Below are 22,701 nucleotides of genomic sequence, written 5' to 3'. Positions count from 1 at the left end.
CAGCTCTACCACTGACTTAGCTAAGTGAAATTTATCAATGAAGTCACCCATTTGAGCCTCAGTTTCCTCATCTGTAAAATCATGTTAATGATGACAGCTAGCATCCACTGAGGGTCAGCTGTGTGCCAGATCTTGTTTTAAGTAATTCACTTTTTTTTTTTTTTTTGAGACAGAGTTTTGCTCTTGTTGCCCAGGCTGGAGTGCAATGGCACAATCTCGGCTCACTGCAACCTCTGCCTCCCGGGTTCAAGTGATTCTCCTGCCTCAGCCTCCTGAGTAGCTGGGATTACAGACATGCGCCACCACACCCGGCTAATTCTGTATTTTTAGTAGAGATGGGGTTTCTCCATTTTGGTCAGGCTGGTCTCAAACTCCCAACCTCAGGTGATCCGCCCGCCTTAGCCTCCCAAAGTGCTGGGATTACAGGCGTGAGCCACCGCACCCGGCAAGTAATTCACATTCACTAGCTTCCTTACTCTTCATAACAGCCCCATGAACTAGGTGCTATTGTTATATCCCCATTTTACAGATGAGAAAGATGTGACACAGGGAAGTCAAATCACTTGCTGGTAAATAGCCGAGCCAGGATTTAAACCCAGGCAGCCTGAGTTCTCAATCAGTGCTCTTCACTTTTAACTCGGAGGCTTTATTTATTTTTTATTTTTTATTTTTTTGAGAGAGAGAGTCTTGCTCTGTCTCCCAGACTAGAGTGCAGTGGCGCGATCTTGATTTACTGCAACCTCCGCCTCCCAGGTTCAAGCAATTCTCGTGCCTCACCCTCCAGAATGGCTGGGATTACAGGCGTGTACCACCACACCCAACTAATTGTTTTTTATTTTTAGTAGAGATGGGGTTTCAATATGGTTGGCAGGCTGGTTTCAAACTCCTGAACTCAGGTGATCCGCCCGCCTCAGCCTCCCAAAGTGCTGGGATTACAGGTGTGAGCCACTGTGCCTGGCTGTCTCTGCAGCTTTATATTCCACCCAGTGGGGTTTGGGGGGAGGATAAAAAGGACAATGGGTGTACAGTGGTGACCTAAGTGTCTCCAATGCAGGGCATGCTCGGTAAAGGGAGCTGCTGGGTATTTTTCGCTATTCTTATTCTGTCTTGTCTAAAGAAAGTGTTTTTTTATTCATACATATTTTAGAAAGGTCATACATCCCTAGCCCTCTTTGCTGTCCATTTGTCCATCAAATGGACAGAGCAGATGGCCAGGACCCAGTGGAGTGTGATGAACCCTTGAGAGTCCCCCAGTGAATGGTGTGATTTCAAAGAGGCTACATCTTCCAGCTTGCCGTGCGGGTCTCTACCCCATGATCCAGGCTGGGTGGATCTCTGCAGACCTTCTAAGCATCTGATTACAGGTCCGATGCAGTAATGAGGCCAAGGTCACGGCCCAGGTCCCCCAGGGGGCCACTGAGCTGAGGTGGTGAGCACAGCTCTCACTCTGCCAGCTGTCTCATTCATGCTGGGCCCTGCTTCAGGCGGCTGGAGATGGCAGAGGGGAGCCCGCTGCATGGTAGAGGGAATGACATTGAGTGCTGGCTCTGTGGTCTTGGCCAAGCCTCTTTGAGCCTCAGTTTCTTCATCCCTAAAGTGGGAAGATTACGTATTTGTATTCATTATCTATTGCTGTCTAACAAACCATCCCCAGGTGTTTGTGGCTTAAAACAATAGCATTTATGTAGCTCACCATTCTGGGGTCTGGCTTGGCTGTGAGTGTGTCAGCTGGAACGTCAGCTCATGTCTGGGTGGTCTAGGGTGGCCTCCCTCACATATCTGGTGGTTGACAGCTGTGGGCTGGAGTGATGGGGTATGCCTGGGCATTGGGACTCTCATCCTCCAGCAGAAGAGCCTGAGCTTCTTCAATTGGTGGCTGGGATTCAAGTGTAGCAAGAGATGGCAAGCTCCATATGCAAGCTCTTTTTAAGCCCCTGTTTGTTTCACATTCACTGATATCTCTTTAGCCAAGGTATGGTCCATGGTCAAGGCCAGAGTCAGGGTAGAAGGCAACACCACAGGGCCCCATACAGGAGAATAATTTGTGGCTATTTTTGCAATCGACCACAGTGTCCCAGGCAGAGATTTTGGGAAGAACAAATGAAAAATGGTAGGGTTCTGAGTAGTCATAAAAATATTAGCAAACATTTGGCTGGGCACGGTGGCTCATGCCTGTAATCCCAGCACTTTGGGAGGCCAAGGTGGGAGGATCACTTGAGGGTCAAGAGTTCCAGACCAGCTGGTCAACGTGGCGAAATCTCGTTTCAACTAAAAATACAAAAATTAGCCAGGCACAGGCATGGTGTCTCACACCTGTGATCCCAGCACTTTGGGAGGCCAAGGCAGGTGGATCACCTGGGTTCAGAATTTCGAGACCAGCCTGGCCAACATGGTGAAACCCTGTCTCTACTAAAAATACAAAAATTAGCCTAGCGTGGTGGCAGGCACCTGTAATCTCAGCTACTCGGGAGGCTGAGTCAGGAGAATCACTTGAACCCAGGAGGCGGAGGTTGCAGTGAGCCGAGATCATGCCATTGCACTCCAGCCCGGGCAACAAGAGTGAAACTCCAGCTCAAAAAAAAAAAAAAAAAAAAAAAAAAAAATTAGCCAGGTGTGGTGGTGCACGCCTGTAATCCCAGCTACTCAGGAGGCTGAGTCATGAGAATCACTCGAACCCAGGAGGTAGAGGTTGCAGTGAGCCGAGATCATGCCACTGTACTCCAGCCTGGATGCAGATCGAGACTCCATCTTAAAAAAGTAAAATAAAATAAAAATAATAGCAAACATTAATTGGAACATAATAGGGGCTCCAACATGTTGCATGAACAGTCCTCACTTTCCAGGCAAGGACATGTGGTTCAGAGAGGTTGAATGACTTACCCAGGGTCACACAGCTAATTAGTGGGAGAGCTGGACTTGGAACCCAGAGCTGTCTAATTCCAAAGTTCATGTTCACAGCAATCCCTTCTGCTGCTTCCCAGCACATGCAATTCAGTTCCAACATTAATAGGGATTAACAGAAGCCCCTATCTGGGATGCAAGCCCAGTTTCTCCATCCCTCATGAAGGCCTGACTTCATTTGAAAGAAGCCAGCTGACTGTTTTGCCTGTCATCTGTATTCAGGATTGAGCACAGTTGAGCTTCGCACAAAGCAGAAACTAGAGAGCATTTGTTTGAATAAAAGAAATTGCCACCTATTCTCATAAGGATTTATGTATGCAGGCAGACATGGAGGGAGCTGCTTTGCACCCCACGTTGCAAATACTAGCTCCTCCCTGCTACTAACAATTTTGGTGGCAAGATTATCTGTTTCTGAGCATATGTTCTCCCCATCTCAGCTTTCCTTAGGGAGAAAACTATTTTCTCACCTCTCAGAAAAGGAGGTGACACTTAAAGTAGGGAGAGAACAGATGATCTTACGTCTAACTTTTCTGCTGGGAAAGGCAACAGCTGATGGGGGATATGATCAAAACCTGTAAAGGAAGAGGGAACGCGTTTCCAGCGACCTGAAGGAGGAACTCATGTGTTCCCAAGGGCCCAGGCCTGGTGTGATTCATCTTGGCTTGTTGAGGGATTCTTGATTGCAGGGAAGCATGTTGTGCTTGAGGTTCTGCCTGAAGCTCTGAAGCTGGGTAGAGGGACCATGCAGGGTTGTTCAATTGGTTTCTCTACTTTTGTTTATACCTGAAAATTTCCATAATTAAAAACAACAGGCCAGGTCTGGTGGCTTATGCCTGTAATCCCAGCACTTTGAGAGGCCGAGGTGGGAGGATTGCTTGAGCTTAGGAGTTTGAGACCAGCCTGGCCAACACAGCGTAGACCTCCATCTCTACAAAAAATACAAAAATTCACCAGGTGTGGTGGCATGTGGTTGTGTACTCCAAGCTACTCAGGAGGCTGAGGCAAGAGGATTGCTTGAGCCTATGAGTTTGAAGCTGCAGTGAGCCTTGATTGCACCACTCCACTCCACTCCAGGCTGGGTAACAGACTGAGACCTTACCTCAAAACAACAACAGAGCAATAACTCAACAATTTGGGCATGGAGGAGAGCAGAGTACAAACGCTGAAGTCAGAAATACCACATGATTTTTTTTTTTTTTTTTTTTTTTGGGACGGAGTCTTGCTCTGTCACCCACACTGGAGTACAGTGGCGCGATCTCAGTTTACTGCAACCTCTGCCTCCTGAGTTCAAGAAATTCTCCTGCCTCAGCCTCCTAAGTAGTTGGGATTACAGGTGCCCACCACCACACCCAGATAATTTTTGTATTTTCAGTAGAGACAGGGTTTCTCCATGTTGGCCAGGCTGGTCTCAAACTCCCGACCTCAGGTGATCCACCTGCCTTGGCCTCCCAAAGTGCTGGGATTACAGGCATGAGTCACCGTGCCCGGCCTAGAAATGGTATGTGATTCTTAGCCTCAGTTTCCTTTTCTGTAAAATGGGCATGATAATAGGCCCTATACCTAGGATTGCTGTGAGGATTAAATGAGATCTTTCCTGTAAAGCTCTTAGCCCAGGAAGATCTAATAAGGCTCCATATGTCTGAAGAGCCAGGGTTTCTCAACCGTACTCCTATTGACATTTGGGGACTAATACTTCTTTGCTGTGGGGCGGGGTGGGGACTGTCCCATGCATTGTAAGATGTTCAGCAGCATTCCTGGGATCTATCCACTGGATGCCAGGAGCACCTCCTAGTCAACGACAACCAAATACTGTCTCCAGACACTGCCAAATGTCCCCTGGGGGGAGGAGGGGAGTAGAGTTGTCCCGGGTTCAGAACCACTGGCCTAATCCTTTGTTGTTATTAATTAACAGTGATTCTCTTTTCCTGTGAGGTTGAATATCTGATTTGTGAGGGGAGTTTGGCCAGGCTGGGCTTTGGATACTGCAGCTCTTGCCGTTGCAGACAGCACAAGCAATTGCAAGGTTTATTGCCTCAGTAATGAGATTTATGTGGATGAGCGAGCACATTTTGTGCCAAGATTCATACTTAAGTTTTGAAAAATCTGCATGAGAGCATTATCTAGAAATTTTTCCAGCTGGAGTTCTACTGAGCTTGTCAAAGGGTGACATTAGGCTCAGGATCTTGATACAGTACCTTGAATTTACAGAATTCCTTCCTCTCTTAAAAAAGATATAACTTGACCAGGCATGGTGGCTCATGCTTGTAATCCCAGCACTTTGGGAGGCTGAGGCGGGAGGTCAGGAGTTTGAGACCAGCCTGGCCAACATGGCAAAACTGGCAAAACCCTCCATCTTCGCTAGAAATACAAAAATTAGCTGGCCATGGTGTCACACGCCTGTAGTCCCAGCTGCTTGAGAGGCTGAGGCAGGAAAATTGCTTGAACCCGGGAAGCAGAGGTTGCAGTGAGCCGAGATCATGCCACTGCACTCCAGCCTGGGTGACAGAGTGAGTCTCTGTCTCAAACCAACAAAAAAATTTAAAAACAAAAAAGACAATAACTTTTCTGATTTCCAATGACTGAATGTACTTTGCAGAAAAATTAGAAAATACAGAATGGAAGATATGAAAAATAAACTTACCCATTATGATGGTTAATTTTTTTTTTTTTTGAGACGGAGTCTCCCTCTGTCACCCAGACTAGAGTGCAGTGGTGCAATCTCAGGTCACTGCAACCTCCATCTCCTGGGTTCAAATGATTCTCCTGCCTCAGCCTCCTGAGTAACTGGGACTATAAGCGGGTGCTACCACACCCGGCTAATTTTTGTATTTTTAGTAGAGATGGGGTTTCATCATGTGGCCAGGCTGGTCTTGAACTCCTGACCTCAGGTGATCCACCCACCTTGGCTTCCCAAAGTGCTGGGATTACAGGCGTGAGCCACTGTACCAGGCCAGTGGTGGTTAATTTTATGTGTCAATGTAACTGGGCCACAGGATGCCCACATATCTAATTAAACACTATTTCTGGTATGCTTGGGAAAGTGTGTTCAGAAGAGATTAACATTTGAATCGGTGGACTGAGTAAAGCAGGTGGCCTTCTCCAATATGGATCATCCAATCCATTGAGGGCCTGAGAATAAAAAGGCTGAGAAAGGTTGGATGCGCTCTCCCTCTGCCTGTTTGAGCTGGGACGTCAGTCTTCTCCTGCCCTCGGAGCTCCAGCATCTCAGGCCTTCAGACCTGGACTGGAATGTCCACCATCGGGCCTCTGGTTCTCAGGCCTCTAAACTACACCACTGGCCTCTCTGAGTCTCCAGTTTGCAGATGGCAGATTGTGGCACTTCTCAACCTCCATATTTGCATAAGCCCAAAGTTTGTGGTGTTTTTTTTTGTTTTTTTGTTTTTTTTTTTGAGACAAGGTCTTGATCTGTCACCCAGGCTGGAGTATGGTGGCACGATCACGACTCACTGCAGCCTCAACCTCCCAGGCTCAAGCAATCCTCCCACCTCAGCCTCCCAAGTAGCTGGGGCTACAGCTGCGCACCATCATGCCTAGCTAATATTTGTATTTTTTGTAGAGACGAGGTCTCACTATGTTGCCAGGGCTGGTCTGGAACTCCTGGGTTCAGGCCATCCTTCTGCCCTGATCTCCCAAAGTGCTGGGATTGCAGGCATGAGCCACCATGCCTGGCTAAGGATTTCAGTGTATGAATTTGGGTGGGACACAAACTTTCAGACCATAGTGTACATTTTCACTGTATGTTTACTGCCACATATTTAATGTTTGTGTGCTTTTTTGGTATGACTTTTGTGTTTAAAATGATCCCCAAGTGTAGTGCTAAAGTACTGTCTATCTAGTATCCCTAAGCACAAGAAGGTTGTGATGTGCCTTATGGGGAAAATACATGTGTTAGATACACTTCATTCAAACATGAGGTATTATGGTATTGGCTGTGAGTTTGATGTGAATGAATTGAACATATATATATATAGAGATTTTTTTTTTTTTTGAGATGGAGTTTCGCTCTTGTTGTCCAGGCTGGAGGGCAATCGTGTGATCTCAGCTCACCGCAACCTCCGCCTCCCAGGTTCAAGCAATTCTCCTGTCTCAGCCTCCCAATTAGCTGGGATTACAGGCATGCATCACCATACCCGGCTAATTTTGTATTTTTAGTAGAGATGGGGTTTCTCCATGTTGATCAGGCTGATCTCGAACTCCCAACCTCAGGTGATGCGCCTGTCTCAGCCTCCCAAAGTGCTGGGATTACAGGCATGAGCCATCGCTCCTGGCCCAACAATATATATTAATCAACAATACTTTATATGGTGGCTTTGGCCAGGTGTGATGGCTCATGCCTGTAATCCTAGGACTTTGGGAGGTCGAGGTGAGAGGATCACTTGAGCCCAGGAGTTTAAGACCAGCCTGGGCAATGTGGCAAAACCCCGTCTCTACCCAAAACAGAAGAACTAGCTGGGCATGGTGGTACATGCCTATAGTCCAAGCTACTCAGGAGGTTGAGGTGGGAGGATCACCTGAACTGGGAGAGGTTGAGGCTGCAGTGATCCGTGATTGCTCCACTGCACTCCAGCCTGGACAACAGAGTGAGACCCTGTCAAAAATAATAATAATAATAAGGGGGGTGTCTTTAAACAGAAACACACATAAAAAAAGCTTGTATATTGATTGGTTGACTAAAATGTCGTGACCAAAAGCTTGCAGGCACCTAACCATGTATTTCCCCTAGGAGCAATGGTTTAGTATTTGCTAATTCAGTGTTCTTGGTGACTTTGTAGAATAAGTACCATGAATAATGAGAATTGACTCTATCTGTGTATGTGATCATGAGAATTACTTTAGGATACATTTCTGGAGTGAAATTATTGGGTCGAAGTAGAACACCTTTTCTGATGTCTTTTGGGTTTGTATCAGGTAGCTCTCACTGTGTAACAAACCTCCCCCAAATTCAGTGACTTGAAATAATATGTATTTATTATTTACTCACAAGTTTAAAGCAGGCTGGGAGGTTTGGTTGATCCGGATTGGGCTCGGTGGGTCTCTGCAGGGCTTACTCATGTTTGTGGTTGATGGGGTTTGGCTGGTCTAGGATAACCTCACTCATGTGTTGGAGTTGATGCTTCTCTTCTTCCAGTAAGGTTGCCTGGGCTTGTTCACGTGGCAGCATCAGGGTTCCAGGAGAGCAAGTGAAAATGTTCAAGATCTCTTGAGGCCTAAGCCTAGAAATGCCAGGATAGTTATTTCTGTTGCATCCTATTGGCCAAAGCAATTTAGAAGACCAGTCCAGATTCAAGCACTGGGAAACAGATTTTGTCTCTTGATGAAAAGAGCTGCAAAGATATATTGCAAAGGGCTCAAGTGATCCTCCCACCTCAGCCTCCCAAAGTGCTGGGATTACAGGCATGAGCCACTGTACCCAGCCCAGACGCTGTAGTTGTCTTTTTTTTCTTTTCTTTTTCTTTTTCTTTTTTTGAGACGAAGTTTCGCTCTTGTCACCCAGGCTGGAGTGCAATAGCGTGATCTTGGCTCACTGCAACCTCCGCCTCCTGGGTTTAAGCAATTCTCTTGCCTCAGCCTCCTGAGTAGCTGTCAGGCACTGTATTTTTAAGGAAACTTTTATTTTAGGATAGACTTTGATTTACAGAAAAGTTGCAAAATAGTACAGAGTTTCCATATAACCCCACACCCAGTTACCTCTGTATTAACATCTCATGTTTCTATTTTATGTATTTTTTTCATAGAGATGGGGTCTCACTATGTTGCCCAGGCTGGTCTCAAACTCCTGGGCTCAACTGATCCTCCCAAAGTGCTAGGATTACAGGCGTGAGCCACCGCAACTGGCCGATTTTTTTTTTTTTTTTTTTTGATCTGTCTCTAGGCTGGAGTGCAGTGGCGCAATCTCAGCTCACTGCAACCTCCACCTCCCAGGTTCAAGCGATTCTCCTGCCTCAGCCTCCCGAGTAGTTGGGATTTCAGGTACGTGCCACCATGCCCAACTAATTTTTTTTTTTTTGTATTTTTAGTAGAGACAGGGTTTCACCATGTTGGCCAGGATGGTCTTGACCTCTTGACCTCGTGATCTACCTGCCTAGGCCTCCCAAAGTGCTGGGATTACAGATGTGAGACACTGCACCTGGCTGCCTGGCCGATTTTTTTATATTTAATCAGAGTAGGAGCTGTGCAGATCCCTGAGCCAGAGGTTTTCTCTGGTGAATCAGATCTTAAACTTTTAATGGTTCCTCTTATTCTTAGACACGGAGAAGGTGGCACACTCTATCAAGAAGTAGACTCAGTGCAGTGGGGCCAGCAGTGTGGCCATGAGCAAGAGGCTTTACCTCTCTGAGCCTCAGTTTCTTCCTCTGTAAAATGGGGATTAAAAAAGCCATTTCACTGAGTTAATGCCTGGGAAGTTGGTATCACTGGCCTGGTGGGCGGTAAATGCTTAATAAGTACCAGCTCAACTGTGGTATTTATCTGTATTAAGGATCAGTAGCAGGTGCTCTCGCAGACATAATCTCAGATGAGCATCATTTCTCTCCACTGAAGAGATGAGGAAACAGAGGCCCAAAGAGGTGGCATAACTTGACCAAGATCACAAAGCCAGGAAATGGCAGGACTGGTCATCACACCAGGGCTTCTGGCATTAGCTCAAACCATCATGGCTACCATGCATGGACTCAGCCCCCAGCATATGGTGGGCCCTGAGCCAAGTGTGCAACCTGCATTTCCTCATGGATGTTCCCACAATGCCATGAGGTGGCATCAGAGAAGGCGGAATAGAGAGTAGGGACTTCCATTCCCATCAGGTGGTCATGAGGCCTCTCCCTGTGGTTCAAGTGGCCATCACATGAGGAGTGTGCATTTCTACTCCCATCTGACAGTAACGATGTGCTCCTCCTTCTCCCCCATCGGGTGCTGTCAGGGGAGGCAGCAAGGAGCGTTGGGACTGTCGCCACTGCCTGGGAACACTTTCCCATGATGTCAAAGGAAGACACATGGGGAACACCAGTGAGGCACTTCTACCTCTCCCAGCCAGGAAGGTATCAGCAGAGCAGGTGGGGAACCACAAGTCCCACTTCCACCCAGAAATAAGAGAAGTCTCCCACCCTGCCCATCAGCTTTCATCAGAGGCTGACTGGAGAACTTCCACCCCTCCTGGCATTAATGAGGAGGAACTCCCACCCCCACTCTGCTGTAGTGGTGTCAAGTAGCACCATATAAAATGAATGGAAGATGTATGGGAGGCCAAGATGGGAAGATTGTTTGAGGCCAGGAGTTCGAGACCGGCCTGGGCAACATAGCAAGACACTGTCCCTATAAAAAAAATTTTTTTAGGCCAGGCACAGTGGCTCACACCTGTAATCCCAGCACTTTGGGAGGACGAGGCGGGTGGATCACCTGAGGTCAGTAGTTCGAGACCAGCCTGGCCAACATGGGGAAACCCCATCTCTACTAAAAATACAAAAATAAGCTGGGCATGGTGATGCGTGCCTGTAATCCAGGCTACTCGGGAGGCTGAGGCAGGAGAATCACTGGAACCCGGGAGGTGGAGGTTGCAGTGAGCTGAGATCACACCACTGCACTCCAGCTTGGGTGACAGAGCAAGACTCCATCTCAAAAAAAAAAAAAAGTTTTTTAAAAGCCAGGTATGGTGGTACCTGTAGTCCTAGCTACTCAGGAGGCTTGTAGGAGGATCCCTTGGGCCCAGGAGTTCAAGATTACAGTGAGCTATGATCATGCCACTGCACTCCAGCCTGAGTGACAGAGCAAGACTGCATCTCAAAAAAAAAAAAAAAAAGTTTAAATGAGATCCAGAGTTTCATAACATAATACCTAAAATGTCCAGGTTTTGATTGAAAATAACTCACACAAAGAACCAGGAAGATCTGAAACCGAATGAAACAAGACAATCAATATGTGCCAATGCAAAGATGATAGAGATGTTAGAATTAGCTGACAATGTTTTTAAAGCAGTCATCATAGAAATGCTTAGCAACCAATTGCAAACGTGACTGAAACAAATGTAAGAAAATAGAAAGTCATCAGAATCAGATCTGATGTTTATTCTCTCTCTCTCTCTCTATCTATTTATCTGTCAATCATCTATCTATCTTCATAGTCTACTGGTGTTGTCATTTTACCAGTTCAAGTATAGAGTCTTATCTCCCTTATGTTTTCTTATACTCTTCTGTTTGTATTATAATTGTCTTAAATATTTCCTCTACATACATTTAGAACCAGATTAGTGTTATAATTTTTACTCTAACCATTGGTCATAATTTAGAAAACTCAGGAAGAGAAGAAAAGTCTGTATTTACTTACACTTCAGATGACCACGTTCTTTCTTCCCTCCTAATGTTCCAAGGTTCCTTCTTCTATCATTTCCTTTCTGTTTAGAGAACTTCCTCTTTCCTTTTTTTTTTTTTTTTTTTTTTTTTTTGGCAGTCTTGCTCTGTCATGCAGGCTGGAGTGCAGTGGTGCAATCTTGGCTCACCGCAACCTCTGCCTCTCAGGTTCAAGTGATTCTCCTGCCTCAGCCTCCCAAGTAGCTGAGATTACAGGCACACACCACCACACCCGGCTAATTTTTATGTTTTTAGTAGAGATGGGGTTTCACCATATTGGCCAAGCTGGTCTCCAACTCCTGACTTTGTGATCCACCCGCCTTGGCCTCCCAAAATGCTAGGATTACAGGCGTGAGCCACTGCCACCGGCCTCTCTTTCCATTCTTTTAGGGAAGGTCTACTGGTGACAAATTCTCTTACTTTTCCTTCATCTGAGAATGTCTTGATTTCCTCTTCAGTAGTGAAGAACATTTTCACTAGATATTGTTTTCTGGGTTGATAGTTCTTTCTTTCAGCACTTAAAAAATGCTGTCCTGGCTGGGCATAGTGGCTCATGCCTATTATCCCAGCACTTTGGAAGGTGGAGGTTGGAAGATTGCTGGAGGCCAGGAGTTTGAGACCAGCCTAGGTAACACAGCAAGACCCCGTCTCTACAAAAAAATTAAAAATTAGCTGGGCATGATTGTGCATGCTTGTAGTCCCAGCTACTTGGGAGGCTAAGGCAGAAGGATTGCTTGAACTCAGGAAGTCAAGGTTGCAGTGAGCTATGATCATGTCACTGCATTCCAGCTTGGGAGACAGAGCAAGACCCTGTCTTAAAAAAAAAAAAAAAGAAGCGGTGCCACTTTCTTCTGAGATCCTTGGTTTCTGATAAGAAAACTATTGTTGTTCAAATTGATTTTCTATGATAGGTAGGGTATTGTTGCTCTCTCACTGCTTTCAAGATTTTTTCTTTGTCTTTAGTTTTCAGAAGTTTGACTATGATGTGTGTTGGCGTGAGCTTCTGTGGGTTTATCCTGTTTGAGTTTTGTTTAGCTTCTGTAGATTTTTGGAATCTTTATTCCAAATTTGGGAAGTGTTTGGCCACTATTTCTTCAAGTACTTTTTCAGCCCCACCCTCTTTCTCCTGTCCTTCTGAAATTCTGATGTCACGAAAGCTAAGTCTTTTGTTATAGTCCCAAGGTCCCTGAGGTTCTGTGTAGTTTTTTGAAAGATAACAGAATAATCTCCAAACGCTTGGAAACTAAACAACACTCTTATAAGTAACCCATGTCTCAAAGAGAAAGTTTCAAAGGAAATTTAAAAAAACATTAAACTGAATGAAAGTGATAATACAACATATCAAAATTTGTGTCGTACAGCTAAACAAGGGCTGAGAAAGGACTTCATAGAACTACATGAAGTCTATTTTATCTTTTTTTTGGAGACCGAAGTCTATTTTCTCTCTATTGTTTTCAGATTGGGTAATTCCTATAGCTCTGTCTTCAAGTTCATTGATTTTTTTCCTCTGCCCCCTCTATTCTGTTGTTGAGTCCACCCATTGGATTCTTTTAGTTATATTTTTCAGTTCTAAATTTCCATTTGGTTCTTTCTTATATCTTCTATTTTTTGTGGATATCTACCTGTATATCTCTATCTATCCATCCATCTATAATGTGGTACCTAGAACAACTACTAAAAGTGCTATGCAAAGAGATACACTCAAAAACACTATAGATAAATCAAAAGAAACTCTAAAAATCCCACAGGAAGGCAGTAAGAAGGAAACAGAAATGAAAAATAGAGAGAACAAGCACAAGCACAAAATAAAACAGCAGACTTAAGCTCTAATATATCAATAATTACCTTAAATGTAAAGGGTCTAAACACACTAATTAAAGACAGAACTTATGGCTGGGTGCAGTGGCTCATGCCTGTAATCCCGGCACTTTGGGAGGCTGAGGTGGGTGGATCACCTGAGGTCAGGAGTTTGAGACCAGCCTGGCCAACATGGCAAAAAAAATTAGCCGGTTGTGGTGGCATGTGCCTGTGGTGGCGTGTGGAGGCTGAGGCAGGAGAATTGCTTCAACCCGGGAGGCAGAGGTTGCAGCGAGCAGAGATCATGCCACTGCACTCAGCCTGGGCAACAGAGTGAGACTCTGTCAAAAAAAAAAAAAAAAAAGACAGAACTTGGCAGAGTAGACCGAAAAAGCATGAACCAACTACATGTTGTCCACAGGAAACTCACTTCAAATATACAAGTGGGTTGAAAGTAAAAGGATGGTGGCTGGGTGCAGTGGCTTACACCTGTAATCCCAGCACTTTGTGAGGCCAAGGTGGGCAGATCACAAGGTCAAGAGATCGAGACCATCCTGGCCAACAAGGTGAAACCCCGCCTCTACTAAAAATACAAAAATTAGCTGGGCCTGGTGGCATGTGCCTGTTGTCCCAGCTACTCCGGAGGCTGAGGCAGAAGAATCGCTTGAACCCAGGAGGTGGAGGTTGCAGTGAGCAGAGATAGCGCCACTGTACTCCAGCCTGGCAACAGAGTGAGACTCCTCAAAAAAAAAAAAAAAAGAAAGTAAAAGGATGGGAAAATAATATCAGGCAAACATTAATCAAAAGATTGCAGGGATAGCTATGTTAGTATTAGATAAAGTATACTTCGGAGCAAAGAAGACTGAGAGACAGAGAAGGACATTGTATAATGACAAACGGGCAATCCACCAAGTAGTCCTAACAATCCTAAACATGTGTGCACCAAACAACAGAGCTGCAGAATATGTGAGGCAAAAACTAATAGAATTGAAAAGAGAAATAGACAGATCTATCATTATAGTTTAAGATTTCTTTCTTCCTTTTTTTTTTTTTTTAAGACATGGCCTTGCTTTGTCACCCAGGCTGGATCTCAGCTCACTGCAACCTCCACCTCCTGGATTCAAGCAATTCTCCTGCCTCAGCCTCCTGAGTAGCTGAGATTACAGGTGCCCACCACCACGCCTGGCTAATTTTTGTATTTTTTCAGTAGAGATGGGGTTTCATCATGTTGGCCAGGCTGGTCTCAAACTCCTGACCTCAAGTGATTCACCCACTTCGGCCTCCAAAAGTGCTGGTATTACAGGCATGCACCATTGTGCCTGGCCCTATAGTTTAAGATTTCAATACTCTTCTCTCAATAACTGATAGAATAACTTGACAGAAAATCAGCAAGAATATAGAAGAACTCAACATCATCAACCAATGGGATCTGATCAACACATATAGGACATTTCCCTAAACAGCAGCAGAATACACAGTCTTTTCAGGTGCCCATAGAACATATACCATGATAGACCATATCCTAGACCATAAACAAATGTCAACAAATTTAAAAGAATTAAAATCATACACAGTGTATTCTTCAACCACAAAGGAATCAAATTAGAAACCAAGAACAGAAAGATAACAGAATAGTCTCCAAACACTTGCAAACTAAACAACACACTTATAAGTAACCCATGTCTCAAAGAGAAAGTTTCAAAGGAAATTTAAAAATACATTAAACTGAATGAAAGTGACAATATAACATATCAAAATTTGTGGCACACAGGTAAACAAGGGCTGAGAGGGGACTTCACAGCACTACATACATATGTTTAAAATGTCCTACATCAGGCCAGGTGTGGTGGCTCACACCTGTAATCCCAGGACTTTGAGAGGCTGAGGAGGGTGGATCACCTGAGTTTGGGAGTTCAAGACCAGCCTGACCAACATGGTGAAACCTCGTCTCTACTAAAAATACGAAAATTAGCTAGGCATGGTGGTGCAAGCCTGTAATCGCAGCTACTTGGGAGGTTGAGGCAGGAGAATCATTTGAACTTGGGAGGCAGAGGTTGCAGTGAGCTAAGATCATGCCACTGCACTCCAGCCTGGGTGACAGAGTGAGACTCCATTTAAAAAAAAAGAAAGAAAGAAAATAAAAGTCCCACATCAATCATCTAAGCTTCCACTTAAAGAACATAGGACAAGGGGAGCAAAATAAACCCAAAGCAAACAGAAGGAAGGAAATTGTAAAGAGCACAAATCAATGAAACGGAAAGCAAGAAAACAATAGAGAAAAATCAATGAAATAAAAACTAGTTCTTGAAAAGTTTCAGTAAAATTGACAATTCTCTGCTAAGACTAACCAAGAAGGAAAAAGAAGACACAAATTGGCTGGGCATGGTGGCTCATGCCTGTAATCCCAGCACTTTGGGAGGCCGAGGCGGGTGGATCATGAGGTCAGGAGTTCAACACCAGCCTGGCCAAGATGGTGAAGCCCCTGTCTCTACTAAAAATACAAAAATAGCTGGGCATGGTGGCGGGTGCCTGTAATCCCAGCTACTCGGGAGGCTGAGGCAGAGAATTACTTGAACTGGGAGGCAGAAATTTCAGTGAGCCGAGATTGCACCATTTCACTCCAGCCTGGGTGAAAGAGCGAGACTCCGGCTCAAACAAAAGAAAAGAAAAGAAAAAGAAGACACAAATTTTCGGTATCAGGAATGAAAGAGGGGCTATCACTGCATACATCAAACTTGATAAGCGAAATAGACCAATTCCTTTAAAAACAAAAACTACCGTAACTCACCCACTACAGAATAGACAGTTTGAATAGCCCTGTAACTATTAAGGAAATTGAATTTGTAATGTAACAGATCCCCAAAGAGGAATCTCTAGGTTGAAATGGTTTCCCTGGAGAAGTTTACCAAACATTTAAAGAATTAACAGTTACCTGCAAAATCTCTTCCAGAAAATAGAAGAGAAGGAAACATATTCCAATTCATTTTACTAAGCGAGTGTTAACTCTGATGTTAAAACCAGAGTTTTACGAAAAGGTGGAACTACTGGGCCGGGCGGGGCGGCTCATGCCTGTAATCCCAGCACTTTGAGAGGCCGAGGTGGGCGGATCACAAGGTCAGGAATTTGAGACCAGCCTGGCCAATATGGTGAAACCCTGTCTCTACTAAAAATACAGAAAAATTAGCTGGGTGTGGTGGCACATGCCTATAATCCCAGCTACTCAGGAGGCTGAGGCAGGAGAATTGCTTGAACCCAGGAGGTGGAGGTTGCAGTGAGCCGAGATGACGCTACTGCACTTCAGCCTGGGCGACAGAGCAAGACACAAGGTGGAACTACAGATTAATATCTCACATGAGTATAGAAACAAAAATGCAGTCGAGCATGGTGGCTCATGCCTGTAATTCTGGTACTTTGGGATACTGAAGTGGGAGGATCGCTTGAGCCCAGGAGTTCGAGACCAGCCTGGGCAATACGGCGAAAACCCATTTCTACAAAAGATACAAAAATTAACCGGGTGTGGTGGATGTCTGTAGTTACAGCTGCCTAGGGGGCTGAGGTGGGTGGATCACCTGAGCCTGGGAGGTCTAGGCTGCAGTGAGCCGAAATTGTGCCACTGCACTCCAGCACGGGCAACAGAGTGAGACCCTGTCTGAAAAGAAAAGAAAAAAACAAAACAAAAATGCTTAACAATAAATTAGCAAATGGAATTCAGCAATCTGTATAAAGAATTGTCTACCTTAACCAAGTGGGATTTATTCCAGGGATGCAAGGCTTGCTTGGTATTCAGAAATCAATGTAATGCACCATATTAACAGGCTAAAGAAGAAAAATCATATATCATTCAGTGTAGTACAGGTATTCATGATTTAAAAATCTCTTAAAAATAGGAATGAAGGAGAAATTCCTTGATTTTTTTTAAAGAATAATCAAGTGCAGTAGTGAGAAGTGGGGGGAGAGGGGAAGAGTAGTACATGGAGTTTGATCTGTAACTGACTGTAAAAAGTCCATTGAGATAACTCACTACTTTCAGACCAGCCAAATTCCTCAATTTGATAAAGAGCATCTACAAAAAAAAAAACAAACTGCAGCTAACATTACACTTAATGATGAAAGACTGAATGCTTCCTGCCAAAGGTCAAGAACAAGGCAAAGACGTTTGCTTTCACTCCTTATGCAGCTTTCACTCACTATGCAACACTCACTATGCTTTGCTTTCACTCACTTTGCTTTCACTCACTATGCAGCACTCAGCATAGTGCTGGAGGTGCTAGCCAGTGTAATAAGGCAAGAAATGGGCATAAGCGACACACAGATTGGAAAGAAAAAAATTAAAATCATCTCTATTTTCTGGTGACATGATTGTTTCTGTAGGAAATCCCAAGGAATCTATAAAACAGTTTGTAGAACTAAAAGGTGACTTCAACAAGGCCCCGGGATATAAGGTAAACATAGAAAAACTAATTGTATTCCAATATACTAGCCATGAACTCATGGACATTGTAATAAAAAATATAGTGCTATTGGCAGGGTGCAGTGGCTCATGCCTGTAATCCCAGCACTTTGGAAGGCTAAGGCGGGAGGACTGCTTAGCCCAGAGTTTGAGATCAGCCTTGGCAACACAGTGAGACCCCCATCTCTACAAAATATAATTTAAAAATTAACTGATGTGGTGGTGTATGCCTGTAGTCCCAGCTACTGGGGAAGCTGAGGCAGAAGGATCACTTGAGCCCAGGAGTTCAAGGCTGCAGTGAGCTATGATCATGCCACTGTACTTTAGCCTGGGTGATAGAGTGAGACCCTGTCAAAAAAAAAAAAAAAAAAAAAAAAAAGAAAAGAAAAGAAAATTAGCAAGACATGAAGAGACATATAAATAGCAAATAAGAGCCAGGTGTGCTGGCTCACGCCTGTAATCCCAGCACTTCGGGAGGCCAAGGCAGGTGTATTGCTTGAAGTCAGAAGTTCAAGACCAGCCTGGCCAACATGGTGAAACCCCATCTCTACTAAAAATACAAAAATTAAATGGGCATGGTGGTGGGTGCTTGTAATCTCAGCTACTTGGGAGACTGAGGCAGGAGAATCACTTGAACCCAAGAGGCGGAGATTGCAGTGAGCTGAGATTACGTCACTGCACTCCAGCCTCGGTGACAGAGCGAGACTCTGTCTCAGAAAAAAAAAAAAAAATTTTTTTTAAAATAAATAAATAGCAAATAAGAACATGAAAAGATTTTGAACATTATTAACCAACAGGAAAATGCAAATTAAAACCACAATGAGGTATTACTCTATACCTATCAGAATGGCTAAAATAAAATATAGTGACAACATCAAATGCTGACAAAGATGCAAAGAAACTGGCACTCATAGATTGCTGGTAGGTGGGGATGTAAAATGGGTCAACCATTCTGGGAAACAGTTTGACAGTTTCTTAAAATACTGAACATACGACTACCATATAACACAGCAATTGGACTCCTGGGAACTTTTCACAGAGAAATGAAGACGTACGTTCACACAAAAAGCTGTACATGAATGTTTATAACGTTTATACCAGCTTTATTCATAATAGCTCCAACCTGTGTCCTTCAATGGGTGAATAGGTCAAACAATATGTCTTTCAATGGGTGAATATTTAAACCGTGGTGCATGTGTACCATGGAACACTACTCAGCAATAATAAGGAACAAACTACTCACACATGCAACAACCTGGATGCATCTCCAGAGATTTATGCAGGGTGAAAACAGTCAATTCTAAAAGGTTACATACTATATGATTCCATTTACATGACATTCTTGAAATGACAAAATTTTAGAAATGTAGAACAGATGAGTGGTTGCCAGGGCTTAAGGAGGGGATGGATGAACGGAAGGTGGAAGTGGGTGTGGCTATCAAAGGGAACATGAAGTATCCTTGTGGTGATGGAAATATTTTCAACATCTATATTGACATTGACTGTATCCATGTCAATATCCAGGTTATAATGTACTACAGTTTTGCAAGATGTTACCACTGGAGGAAACTGCATAAAGGGTACATGTGATCTCTCTTTTTTTTGTTGTTATTTTTCGCTAAATTTTTTGTAGAGATGGGGTTTCACTAAGTTGCCCAGAGTGGTCTCAAACTTCTGAGCTCAAGTGAGCCACTTGCCTTGGCCTCCAAAGTGCTAGGATTACAGGCATGAGCCACTGTACCTGGCCCACACATGATCTCTCTCTCTCTCTCTCTCTCTCCCTCCCTCTCTCTTTTTAATGAGACAGAGTCTCGCTCTGTCACTCAGGCTGGAATGCAGTGGCGTGATCTTGGCTCACTGCAACCTCCACCTCCTGGGTTCAGACAATTCTTGTGCCTCAGCCTCCCAAGTAGCTGGCATTACAGGCGCATGCCACCACTCCTGGCCTCTTTGTATTATTTCTTACACTTGTATGTGAATCTGTAATTATCTCAAAATTACAATTTTAATTTTAAAAAAGGCATTTGTCTGTAGCCTGTCAATCATTCAGTATTTTTCCAGTCTCTATTTTGCAGAAAGAAGTACCCAAAGTGGTGAGAATGAAGATTTATCAATGTAGAGTGAATTTTAGTGCTCTTCAAATTTTGTTGTCTTCTATCGCTCAATTAGGGGTCTTGTCTACTGAGATTACTCTAGGGACTTCCAGTCTCATTTATTTAATAATATTATTATTTGTTAATGCTTCCACAGGGTAATTCACTGAGCTTCTAGGTTGCCCTAGCAACCTAAAACAAATGTCCCCATTTGGTACTCAGAAAAAATAGAAAAATGATTTGCTAAGGAGCCTCTGGATGCTGGGCCCACAGTTCTTTCCACTTCATACATAAGCTGGCATCTATATCATGTGTGGTCTGGAATCATTTTTATTTTTCCTGATCATTAAATTCCTCTCCATCTAGCACCTGTCTTAAGCCACTTTAGAAATCACCAGCTTTTGAGAGCAGGAAAAAACTCTTAAATCCAGCATCTCACCTGGACTTGGATCCCTCCCTTTAGGGCCAGCTTGGACAGAGCCAAGGTTTCTTTCAGGCCCACAAAGCAATTGCTGTAGGTTCAAGAACAATGAGATGATGGGGCTTTCTCCCAGCAGAGTTATGCAGTTTTCCTGTTTCTGGAAGTAAGCAGCTCTCAGCTGACCACATTTGGGATAGGCATGGAGTGAAAGTGAGGTGGCATTGCTTCTGGCATTGGGTGCTTCCTGTGCAAGAATCACCTCCTCAAATGCAGGGCTCAAACCAGGAACTGAAAGAGGCAGTCAGAAGATGAAGGCCTTGGGATCTTTCGTAGCATATTCCATGGCTGCTTTTTGGCGGTATCATCTGGCGGGGGGAATTCTTCTAATTTCATCATTATCATTTCATCACTTCTAACTTCATCATTTATCTATGATCTCATGGAACCCCAAGATTTTTTTATTTTTATTTATTTCTATTTTTTTTTTCAGAGTCTCACTCTCGCCCAGGCTGGAGTGCAGTGGCGCTATCTAGGCTTACTGCAACCTCCACCTCCAAACTCGAGTTCAAGCAATTCTTCTGCCTCAGCCTCCCAAGTAGCTGGGATTACAGACGCGTGCCACCATGCCTGGCTAATTTTTGTATTTTTAGTAGAGACGGGGTTTCATCATATTGCCCAGGCTGGTCTCGAACTCCTGACCTCAAACAATCCGCCTGCCTCAGCCTCCCAAGTGCTGGGATTACAGGTGTGAGCCACCACTCCTGGCCGGAACCCTGTGATTTTTAAACATCAACATGTTTTAAAACAACTATTTTGTGCTGGGCACTGTGTTGGGTGCTTTGCCACGTCCTAATTCATTGAATCTAAACTCCTGAATATTCAAAACCACTTCCTGAAGCATTTACATGATTCCCAGTGATATATAGGCAGAAGAATAGGGCTCAGCTCAGAGGGGAAGTGACTTGCTGAACGTCACACAATGAGTAATAGGTGGAGCCTGAATTTAAACCTAAACCGGCCAGAATCCAAAGTCCACGGTTTTTCTGTTCTGTCATGCTGCCACAGAGGCAGTTTAGTGTAATGACTAACTGGCTAAGGGTGCAGGCTCTGCATTTAGATGGATGTGGGTTCTACGTGGTTCAAGCCATGTGACTTGGACAAGGAATTTAACTTCTCTGAGTCTTCAGTTTCCTCACCTTTATAGGTGGGGATTAGGAGTCCCTTCTGGGCTGGGTGTGGTGGCTCATGCTTGTAATTTCAACACCTTTGGGAGGCCAGGAATTTGAGACTAGCCTGGGCAACAAAACAAGACCCCATCTGTACAAAAAGTAAAAATATTAGTGAGCAAAGTGGTGTGCACCTGCAGTTTTAGCTGCTTGGAAGGCTGAGGTGGAAGGATTGCTTGAGCCTGGTAGTTCGAGGCTGCAGTGAGCCAGATGGAGCCACTGCTCTCCAGCCTGGGCAAAAGAGTGAGACCCCGTCTCAAAAAGAAAAAAAAAAAAGAATTATTTCTGTGGCCATAGGATTGTTGAGCAATTTCAGAAGATTCTGCATGTAAAGCACTCAGATAGTGCCTAGCATGTCTAAGTGATGGATAAATGTTAGCAATAATCTGTTTCCAAAGAATAAGCTAGCTTACTCCGTGGTTTCCAGTTGGAACTCGGCCGGACGCGGTGGCTCACGCCTGTAATCCCAGCACTTTGGGAGGCCGAGGCGGGTGGATTACAAGGTCAGGAGATCGAGACCATCCTGGCTAACATGGTGAAACCCCGTCTCTACTAAAAATACAAAAAATAAGCCGGGCGTGGTGGCGGGTGCCTGTAGTCCCAGCTACTCGGGAGGCTGAGGCAGGAGAATGGCGTGAACCTGGGAGGCGGAGCTTGCAGTGAGCTGAGATCGCGCCACTGTACTCCAGCCTGGGCGACAGAGCAAGACTCCGTCTCAAAAAAAAAGGAACTCAAAGCACTTTACCAATCTTCATTTTCCCCAAAGCACTCAGAACTCACTGCTATCAATGCCCCTGTTTAATTTATTAACTAGTGGATTTTAAAAAAACAACTTTTATTGTTCAAAACTATTGAATTGTGGGCACAGTGGCTCATACCTGTAATCCCAACACTTTGGGAGGCCGAGGTGGGAGGATCTCTTGAGCTCAGGAGTTTGAGGCCAGCCTGGGCAACATAGCAGGACTTCATCTCTACAGAAAAATGTTAAGAATTTAGCTGGGCATGGTGGCGCGTGCCTGTAGTCTCAGCTACGTGGGAGGCTGAGGTGGGAGGATTACTTGAGCCCGGGAGGTCCATGCTGCAGTGAGCCGTGGACTGCCCCACTGCACTCCAGCCTGAGCGACAGAGCAAGACTGTGTCTCAAACAAACAAAAACAAGTGAATTGTTTTTGAGCCTCACCATATGGCAGGCACTGCAGTAGGCGTTTCATCACGTTTATCTCATTTAAATAAAGTGAGTGGCAAATCTTACTGCAGGAAGGGTGCTGAATTCCTCCTATTAGGAGTGGCTGCTTGAAGGCAAAATAAAACCCATCCTTTCATTTTGTTGAGTCCCAGCAGTAGCAGCAACAGGTACTGTCGAGCGTTTATCACAAGCCAGGAACTCTTCTAAGTATATTACTATTATCCTGGTGCAAAAGTAATCGCGGTTTTTGCCATTCCTTTTAATGGC

The 22,701-nt window shown here is 44.5% G+C and overlaps 1 long non-coding RNA gene across 1 annotated transcript, besides 1 other annotated feature; it reads right to left on the bottom strand.

Annotated features, from left to right (window-relative positions):
• Positions 1-1,426: 1,426 nt before the first annotated feature.
• On the bottom strand, positions 1,427-22,170 carry LOC105369969 (uncharacterized). Its single transcript, XR_945328.4, has 3 exons — positions 22,127-22,170; positions 7,904-8,135; positions 1,427-1,591 (listed from the first exon to the last, which is right to left on the bottom strand). It is a non-coding gene; the product is annotated as an uncharacterized LOC105369969 (long non-coding RNA).
• Positions 20,477-20,978: an enhancer, noted in NCBI's record as "H3K27ac hESC enhancer chr12:109128377-109128878 (GRCh37/hg19 assembly coordinates)". NCBI's record gives its function as "activates a minimal SCP1, AML or CMV promoter by ChIP-STARR-seq in primed H9 embryonic stem cells {active_cell/tissue: H9 hESC(primed)}" and the evidence as "EXISTENCE:reporter gene assay evidence [ECO:0000049][PMID:30033119]".
• Positions 22,171-22,701: the final 531 nt, after the last annotated feature.

Source organism: Homo sapiens, chromosome 12 (assembly GCF_000001405.40).
Source record: "Homo sapiens chromosome 12, GRCh38.p14 Primary Assembly".
Lineage (NCBI taxonomy): Eukaryota > Metazoa > Chordata > Mammalia > Primates > Hominidae > Homo > Homo sapiens.
The sequence above is the reverse complement of the archived record's forward strand: the minus strand, read 5'-3'. Positions and strand labels throughout refer to the sequence as shown.